Source organism: Homo sapiens, chromosome 14 (assembly GCF_000001405.40).
Source record: "Homo sapiens chromosome 14, GRCh38.p14 Primary Assembly".
NCBI classification, from domain to species: Eukaryota; Metazoa; Chordata; class Mammalia; order Primates; family Hominidae; genus Homo; species Homo sapiens.
The window spans coordinates 44,585,617-44,595,939 of NC_000014.9; the positions used below are offsets into that span (position 1 = coordinate 44,585,617).

At 37.0% G+C, this 10,323-nt stretch overlaps 1 long non-coding RNA gene across 1 annotated transcript; it reads right to left on the reverse strand.

Annotated features, from left to right (window-relative positions):
• Positions 1 to 1,202: 1,202 nt before the first annotated feature.
• On the reverse strand, positions 1,203 to 10,118 carry LOC105370472 (uncharacterized). The gene is made up of 3 exons (XR_943809.2): positions 4,432 to 10,118; positions 3,713 to 3,739; positions 1,203 to 1,688 (listed from the first exon to the last, which is right to left on the reverse strand). It is a non-coding gene; the product is annotated as an uncharacterized LOC105370472 (long non-coding RNA).
• Positions 10,119 to 10,323: the final 205 nt, after the last annotated feature.

Genomic DNA, 10,323 nt, shown 5'->3' on the forward strand with positions numbered 1-10,323 from the left:
AATATATTTAGTTCCTCCACTCTTGGTGCAACAACTTTTGCTTTTTTATCCATAACTTCCTCTCTTCCCAATTAGTTATACAGAAATCATTCTCTCTATCTAAGTAGAAAAAGAAAATGAATAAAGATTAACTATACCATATGCTTACGTTTGATATAAAACATGACCCAAAATAGTATTTTTAAATTATACAGGATCTTAATTATCTCTTACACAAAACCTGTATTTCATAACTAATTGAAAGTTAAATTCTAATATTTGGCACTGGAATGTATAAATGTTGGCAACACATAGATATAGAGCCTTCGGTTTTGGCTAATTTGAGCCATTATTCTGACTCACATAAACCTTAATATTTCAGTTAGCCTCACTAGGCTCCCTATTCCATTTGGAAAGAGCAGGACAAACAATTCACTTTCAGACAAGATCTTTGCTTCTCTTGATATATAAAAGTGGTCTGCTTTCCCTTCCAGAGGGGAAAAAAAGATTTATAATAAGAAAAACCACTACGTTTTTACCTTAAGGGCAAAATCCAGAATATCCTAACCTAAATTATCTCTCCTCTTCTGGTATCAGATTTGCATGCTTGTATTAGTATTCAACATTTAATTTGATTAAATACTCTATTTACATATCTAATGGTTGCACTGCATGATTATACTCCTTTTGTAGAATGGGAATATTTTTTAAATCCCCTTCATAGAGTCTGATTAATGCATTTAGTAAAATTTATCATTAACTTGCTACTAATTACTGAAATAATAAGGGAGAGGTGTTTGTTTGTTTGAGACAGAGTCTCGCTCTGTCGCCCAGGCTGGAGTGCAGTGCTGCCATCTCGGCTCACTGCAACTTCCACCACCTAGGTTTAAGTGATTCTCCTGCCTCAGCCTCCTGAGTAGCATGGATTACAAGCGCCCGACACCACGCCTGGCTAATTTTTGTATTTTTCATAGAGATGGGGTTTCACCATGTTGGCCAGGCTGGTCTTGAACTCCTGACCTCAAGTGATCTGCCCAGCTCAGCCTCCCAAAGTGCTGGGATTACAGGCATGAGCCACCACGCCCAGCCAGGGAGAGGTTTTTATTTAAGGGAACGGTGATCAGATTACTAAGAGAGGAAGATGGGAAGGAGAAATAGACAAGAAACAAATGAAAAAAAATGCGGTTTTAAAATGTTTTGGAAACACTACAGTATCTGTTCACATAGAAACTAGAAAGCCTGACCATCAAAAGGAATAAATAAGCCATTTGGGTTCTTTTTTTCAAGAGTGGTTGCTTATCTAGATATTTAGCTGAAGCCATGCTTGCTGGCTACAATTATTGGCTGCATACACCTGGCTCAGGTATTATTCTTTAATAATGCCTAAGATGATTGTCTGATTGTCTGTTTACCTTGGTACTTAAACTGGTCAACAAAACTATTAACTGGGAAAAACCAAAGGCATAGAATGGAAAGAACTGCCTTTGTTTAAACAGTAGGTAGTCCCTATAAATAACACACCAAATTACAAATTGCATACAGATGTGGTTCATTTAACCTTCATTCAACTGTTATTGAATTTCCACTCTGTGTCAGGTGTTACAAAGTTCCTGTCTCCAACTTGGTGTTGATCCAACTCTCCATTTTTCACTGTTCTGTCTCCAAGCCTTCTTCTCTTCTGAATTGCACACCAGTAGCAATCTAATAAACTAAATGCAAAGAGAAATCCTTGAAAGTTCTCTCCTTGAAATAGACAGGCACCATGACCTACTGGAAAGAACACAGACTTTAGGCAAAAACAGATTGATTTTTAAATCTGAAATTTGACTCTTAATAATGTTGTGTCTTCAACTTCTTTAGCTACGAGAATAAGAATTGTGCCCTCCTCATAGAATTCTTATAAGGATTAAACGTGATAATATACGTGAAATACATAGAACATAGTACGTATGTGATAAACAAGGCAATTTTTTAAATATAAACATTATCTTTCAAGGTTCTGGGATTTTATTCCCAGTTCTGGTCTAACAGCCGAAAGTCCATATTCCATGGGTACTTTGGAATGTATGTACATTGTATGCAGTTCCCTTCATGTGTCAACCACTAGTTTTAAGTGGGAAAAAAATAATGTTTTTCAAGTGCAGTTCCTGGCTTTTTCCCAATGCTCCAACAACCTATCTACTGTATTTATTTCCTGTCTCTCACTGTGTTTCTATCCCCCACCACCACCTTTTCCCATTCCAATTTACCAAACAGAAATTCCAAAAAAGAAAATACCTGAATCTGGAACTGAGTTTAGACTCACCTAACCAGCTCACCTGCAGGTTAACTGTTTTATAATCACCACATGAAGCACACATAATAAACAAAACAATACACCCTCTTACAGAGATGCACACTCACATGAGACACCACACAGCATTTGCTGCTTTCTCACATATCTATTCTCAGACATTTCCCTGCCCTCCCTCAGCAAGTCTATCAAAAGCTCAAATTTTCTGCGAGGAAGCAATTCTCTAAACATATATACATAGGAACATTATTTTGAATAAAAAGTATAAAAATTGGGAAAAGGTACATAGCTCTTCACATGTAACATTTAAGTAAATTTAAAAATATGCACAACACAATAAATCATATTTTGTAAGGGTACATACATATTCAACGGCATACAAAAAACACATCAGAATGAGTGCCTACAGGGAAGAAGGTATTGGAAACATGAATCAAAAATTAAAAGAAAAAAATAAAACAAAAGAGTAGACTTGCACAGATGAATTATGGTAAGTGCCATTAAGTAGGGCTATTTTAACTACTGGGATTTAAGAAAGATAATTCAAGCAAATGTTTTATTGTATTAGAAATGTTAGGCTAAGCTCTGCTGTAGTAAGATACAAACTCTGAAGATAAATGTATTACTTGTATTATTATTATTACAAAGCTGATATTCCTGAATATGATTTAACTCTGAAAGCTTTCAGGCTCTTTAAAACCTGAACCACAGAATTAGACAGGCTTAGTCATTGATAGTACTGAATTCATCAGACTTTCTAACACTGGAGACTACAACTATAAAACAATACAGAGGCATAGGCCTGAATGTGTGCCTCCTTTCTGTGGGCAGCTAGCTCCCAAAGAGAATGGGGAGAGAAAGAGGGTTTAATCTTCAAATGTTCAGTTTGTCCTTCCAAATTCACCAAATTGCTACTTGTTTCCCTTTATGGAAGTGGAGTAAGGGAGTGGGGAGAGCACAGGAATATTAACCTAACGGAACTCTCTTTACATGGGAGGAAGCATTAGGAGTAGAGAAGTTTCCCATCCTACCTTAAATACTGACTAAACCACAGTGAAAGTTTAAATAAATCTTTTGCCACATTTTTAGTCAGCTTAAAAAATTATACTACCACTATTGAATTAAGACCCTTAAATACAGTCATGCATTGTTTAGCAACAGGGATATATTCTGAGAAATGTGTCATTAGGCAACTTCATCATTGTGTGGGCATCACAGAGTGTACTCACACAAACCTAAATGGTCTACTACTGCACCTTTAGGCTATATGATATAGCTTATTGCTCCTAGACTACAAAGCTGTGCAGCATGTTACCGTACTGAGTGCTGTAGGCAAGCATAACACAATGTTAAGTATTTGCATATCTAAACATAGAAAGCATACAGTAAAAATACAATATAGGAAATTTTTTAAAAGTTACACCTGTTTAGGGCACTTACCATGAATGGGGCTTGCACCACTGGAAGCTGCTTTATGTGAGTCAGTGAGTGAGTAAGTGGTGAGTGAATGTGACGGCCTAGGATACTACTGTATGCAACTGTAGACTACAAACACTGTACACATACTCTACACTGAATTTATTTTTAAAAAATTCTTTTCTCAATAATAAACTAACCTTAGCTTGCTGTAACTATTTCGCTTTATAAACTTTTTAATTTTTTTTTAACTTTTTGACTCTTTTGTAATAACACTTAGCTTAAACACAAACACATCCTAAAAATGTACAAAAAATATTTTCTTTCTTCATATCCTTATTCCATGAGTTTTTTTTCTATTTAATTTTTTTTTTACTTTTTAAACTTTATTGTTAAAAACTAAAACCCAGGCTAGGTGCAGTAGCTCATGCCTGTAATCCCAGCACTGTGGGAGGCTGAGGAGTGTAGATCATTTGAGGCAAGAATTCAAAACCAGCTTGGTCAACATAGCAAGACCCCATCCCTACTAAAAAATTAAATTAAATTAAAAATTCACTGGGCATAGTGGCACATTTCTATAGTCCCAGCTGCTCAGGAGGCTGAGGCAAGAAAATCACTTGAGCATAGGAGTTTGACGTGCAGTCAGCAATGATCATGCCACTGCACTCCAGCCTGGGTGACAGAGCAAGACCCCGACTCAAAAAAAAGCTAAAACACAAACACCCACATTAGCCTAGACCTACACAGGGTCGTGATCATCAGTATCACTCTCTTCCAACTCCACATCTTATTCCACTGGAAACTCATCAGGTACAATAACATACGTAAAGCTGTCATCTCCTATGCCTTCTTCTGGAATACCTCCTGCAGGACCTGCCTGAAGCTGTTTTACAGCATATTATCTATATATCTATATCTCTATATCTATATGTCTATATATAGATATAGATATAGATAAAAGAGCATGCTGTAAACTAACAATTAAAAGTATGGTATAGCACATATACCAGTAACTTATTAATAGTATTTTATGGTCATTATCAAGTATTATGTCCTATACGATAATTGTATATGCTATACTCTTGTATGCCTGGCAGCACAGTAGGTTTGTTTACACCAGCATCACCACAAACATGTGAGTAATGTCTTGCACTATGATGTCACTACAGCTACTGTGTCACTAGGCAATAGGAATTTTTCAGTTCCATTATAATTTTATAGGACTACCATCATATACACAGTCCATCATTGACTGAAATATTGTTATACAGTGCCTGGTTATAGCTAATTTTATTTGAACAAACTTTAGATATTCTTACTTCTAAATAATATTCTTTGTATTCTACCAATATTATAGCTTAAGTGAAACTAATTTTTTCTCTTGTTTACTGAAATGTAAAAACCAGTTCAGGACACCATTACTAGTCCTCTAATAGCTTACTAAGTCACGTAATTCATTCCCATACAATGAAATAGAAAATAATTTAGGCTATTATGAGGTCTGTAATTGGTTACTTCTAATGCTATTTTAAGCTATACCAGATTCAACACATTTTATAGAAAATATTGAACAACATCCTAAATTCATATATACTTTTTGAACTATTTTGATTTCTATTCACTTGTCTTTTCAAAGGGGAAATTGAATCTCTTCTCATAAGTCATACTATCTAAAGGAATAACTAAAGCAAATATTTTTAGATATGTTTTGGGCAAGAAATACAGGACTTGAAATAAGACCTTTTAGATAGTATACACCATACATTTTCTGACCACTATATAGTTCAGATTGCTTAAATTCACAGACATCTTTTTTAAAATCTGTACATATTCCACCACATATCTCAAACTATTCCTTATCATTAGTTCTTGTTCTCTTTAAGAAAGATACTATGATAAATTTGGCGTTATTGTCAGGTACTTCTGATGCTGAAGAAGCCAATTATTATATAGTGCATATGTGATGTGTTATGAATGCACAATTTATATTTAAAATGGAGAATTCTTTTCCTTTACATTTATTTAGTGGGTATCACCATGGTAACTGAGCACTTTCACAAAGCCTAATTTATGACACAAAAAACATAAAGAAAAGAAAGAGCTTATACTTTCCATATTTTGCATATTGACAGAAAAACTTCTTGGTTGACACATATTTGGGGAGGAAAGAAAGAGATGCAGGAGATGATATGGACAAAAGCAATCTCTTTTAATATGTAAAGATTCTGACTTCTCAAACCTATGTTGTAAGAAAAACTTCCCCAGGAAAAAAACTTTTTCACAAAGAATAATTCAATCTCACGATAGAAAGGGCCACAGAAATAATCTCTCCTAACCCTCTTGTTTTAAAGATGAGATCCCTGAAGCTTAGTCCATTGGTCTGAACTCTTCAAGATCACACACCCAGTTTGTAACAGAACTCAGTTTCAACCCCAAGCCAGTTGCCTTCTAGTCCTGTGTTCTTTCTATACAATCACATTTCAAATATTCCATTTCTACCTCTTGTCCTCATTAAAACACAACTACTTTGAGAAGTCTGATCTGATCAGAACACATTATTATTTTCCTTAATAGCTAGTTTTTAAAAAGCTTATAGTGCCAATCAAAAAAAGATAAATAAAAACACATAAAATGTTAGGATGTAGTCTTTTTTTAAGTTTGTTTATGACAAATGTCAAGAACCATGAAGTGTCAGATTTTACCCTAGTTGCAAGCTAACAAATTAGCTCATTAGAGACAAAAAATAGATTATTTCTCACGGCAATAGCAATAGCTAGAGTATCAACATTTGCAACATGTCCCCAAGAGTAATGCAAAGAGGGCCAATGATGCTAGCACATGCAATGGGATGTTACAAAAGAAGAACCCTAAACTTAGAGAGTAGAAATATTTTATTACAGACAGTGAGCCGACCTGATCTTTCTGTAGAAGGGATACTAATTTCGTTATACTGGACGGTAAGCTAATATGTCCTTTACTCCAGAGAAAAATATTATCTCTATTTTTCAAGGCTATTTTTATACAAATATCCTTAAATAGTCCAGAAAAAAAATCAGCCTCTATTTGCAGAAGCACAAGAGACCTTTTGAGAATTGTCTTGAAACTATAACCACCTCTCATTGTTACATTTTCTTAGCCTCTGAAAATTTTTCACATGAGTACAACACTCCATCAGTTATGATGATTAATCTGAACAATAGCGGTCAAATCCTGCGGGCCGTCAATTCTTTAAAAAGTTTTATTAAAACACAGCCATTCATGTATGTATTGTCTCTGACTGTTTTCATTCTTTAATAGCAGAGTTCACTATACCTTGACTATCAGCCTATTGCTGAGTAGCTTTTGTGATGAAAAGCACATCACTGTCAGACTTCAAATGGTCTAGAAAAACACATATTAATATATAACACAAAATACTTTCAAAGGTCCCAATAGTGGGGCCAGAGTCAGCTAATCAGACAGGAAAAGCAATTTCATAATCTGAAAAAGTGTTAATGGAAGGGAGGCAATATTATATACCTCCAAGATGTAGGCAGCCTGCCAGAAATGGGTGAGGGCTCCAATCCCATGTGATGTGTCTTCCATTTCTGGAGGACAAATGGGTTAACTTTTGGCAGGAGTTGCAAGTCTTCTATGCAGAAATGTCCTCTGCATCAGAAACATAGAGTCCTTTACTTTGTGCCCAATCTGTGATGGTGAATGTGTTGCCATGCCCAGGGTAAGGATGGAACCAGGAAGCACTGACAGCAATCTGGGCAGAGCAAACTTGATCAATAGTGTAATTCCAGCTGTTCATATCAGAGAATGAGCCCATATCATGGGCACCTAGAGAGTGACCCAGACAGTTTCATCAGCAGCTACAATTTGTTTCCATAATTTCCCAGGCCCAAAGAGGTGTGTCTTGAATTTGCCAGCCATAATTTTTCCACACCAGCAGCTAGGACATTGGTTACAACCTACAGTCGGTAAATATATAAGGTTAGTCAAGGGGAGTATCATCCAGAGGCAAGAGAAAAGCCTTGAGTTCTGCCCACTGTGCAGAATATTTATGTCCATTCTCAGTTCTATTACAGCTGGTGCTCAGGCTGAACAGCTGAGGGCCCATCCCACAAAGGGATAGCTGCCACTTTTTCACATGAAGCCAAGATGTTATCTGGACTGACTGCAGTCCTGAAAATATCATTTCCTTTAGACAAATGAGACTTGTGAAACCCTTCTCACCTTAATAGTTGTTGATCCTGAGTTCACTCACCCCAAAATTGGAATATCAGGATAGAGAGTCAAAAGCCCTCCAAGGTTCAGGCCTTCAGTTTCAATAAAAGCACAGTAGCAAGCCAACAGGTGCTTTCAAAAAGAGTGTGCATGGTGCCAATATAAGGAAAGTGATGCATCTAAAGTAAAGCCCCAAGGGTGCCTCAGGTGGAAGCTGCCTCCCTTTGCCAGAGGCTCAAGATGGAAAAATCATTAGTCACTGAGACTATAGCTTGAGGAGGTCATCCAGTTTGTGGGATCCCAAAAGTATTATTACTTTCCTACGGATAGCTCTTCTTGATCAGAATTCCCTTTGGTACTTATGGAATGGAAGGTACAAGCATATTCACATCAATTTCTACTATATATTCAAATATAGAAGCAACAAAAGCAGTACATTGAATTGTTCCAAAGGGCCCTACCAACTACAAACTTACATTAGTGTCTCTTACCCCACTGTAAACTTTGCCCAGTCAGATAAGTTGAACCTGGGCTTCCTTCCCGACTCAAGACCAGGTAGAATAATGACATGGACGCCTGCATCCAATAAGGTCATACGAGTTTGAGTCTTTCTCCCTGAAGTTCTCTAGCATACTTAACTAGGTGAATATGTCCTTTGATCCCTCTTAAGGATGGGGAGACCTCAGCCTCACCCCTATTCATCTTTCTCCATAATGAAGCTACAGAGGAGGCAGGAGGTGGCAAGAAGTGACATAGGGGCTTTATGAAAAGATGCAAAGGGAAAAAGTGGGGTAGCACAGCTCATAGCTCATGACTCAACCAAATGAACTTCTAATGTTCTCATTCTGACCAAAATTCTGTATCAATTGGCAAGATTCTTATGGCTAGCAGCATCAATTTCAGTATTAGAGACCCCTGGATATAACATAACACCCACAACCACATCGCATTCTCACTGGGGGTGCAAGGGTTATGCCCTTTGCCCAACTCAAGCCTGACACAGCAACAACTTTTTTAAGGAATTCACCTAAATCTGGAGCGTCTGCAAGCACCACTACCAAAATAACATTCTCTTAAATTCTTTCAAGTTTCAATATAAAAAATAGGGGAGTGTTCCAGGGCTGCAGCACTAACCATAAAATTGATCTAAGAATTTGGTTTAGTTTCTCATTCTTCAGTGGATCACCTTCATCAGCATCATAAACCCAATTTGGATCAGGAAAACCTCAAGTACTTGTTAATCCCTCATCGATGATTTGCCACAGGAGTTTGTCTCCAAAAAATCTCAAAGAAGCTCAAGAATCTCTTATAACAACCATGAATAATTTTTTTAAAAAAAGAAAGAAAAGTCAGAAGACTTTATTTTCATCTCTAAACGGGTCTAAGATTCAGATGATAGACTGCAGGAGGCACAAAGTCATATGATGGCATTTTGGTTGCCATTCTTTTTAAACAAGCATTATATAACCTACCCCTCATCTCTTGAGTAAATCAAGCAAGTGCTAGCCATTTGCCTGGTTTCTGTCTATGTGGTTTCAAATTTTCCTCCTTGACACTCAGTAGTAGTTTTTCTATAAATATTATCACACAGAAGTAAGAACCTTCTGGTCTCCCCAGGGCAAATTTTAATAATACTTGTTACCATAGGGTGGACCTGAGCCTGACCACCAGATTGAAAAGATAGTCTTCCTGCCCAGAGGAGAATTAGATACAATCAGGGCACCATTCAGACAGCTGCCTTTGAATTTACTTCTGAGTTCTCAGGCTGCAACACCCTCCCAAATTCATCCTCATTAACACCCATTAAAGTAGAAGATTATTAATTGTCCTGTTGACCATATAGTTTGGTCAAATGTCTGCTATCAACACATGGCATTGCCTTAAATCAGCCATAAGGATCTCATTCTTCCTCTTCCAAAAACTCATGTCTCTTTCAGCATCCCATGCTCATCATCAAAACTATCAAGGACTTAGAAGGGTCTGAAATTTTACCATATATGAAAGCTAACAAGAAAGGCAGCCATAGTTTCATGGAGACTGATGAGAAATGTGAGACTCCTGCCTCAGAGACAACGTTCAGTCTATTCCTCAAAGCTATTGCCGATATCGAAGTATCTACAGTATGAGCATTTGCATCACATTCCTAAACCTCAGTTCTTAAGGGCATCATCAAGAAGGCACATGCTATGAGTTGCATTTTGCATTACAGGAGAGAAACTCCAAGCTTAGGAAATCCAGATCTTTTTAAAAAATATATATTTATTTATTTATTTATTGAGATGGAGTCTCACTTAGTTGCCATGCTGGAGTGTAGTGGCACAATCTCGGCTCACTGCAACCTCCGCCTCCCAGGTTCAAGCGATTCTCCTGCCTCAGCCTCCCCAGTAGCTGGGACTACAGGTGCTTGCACCACGCCTGGCTAA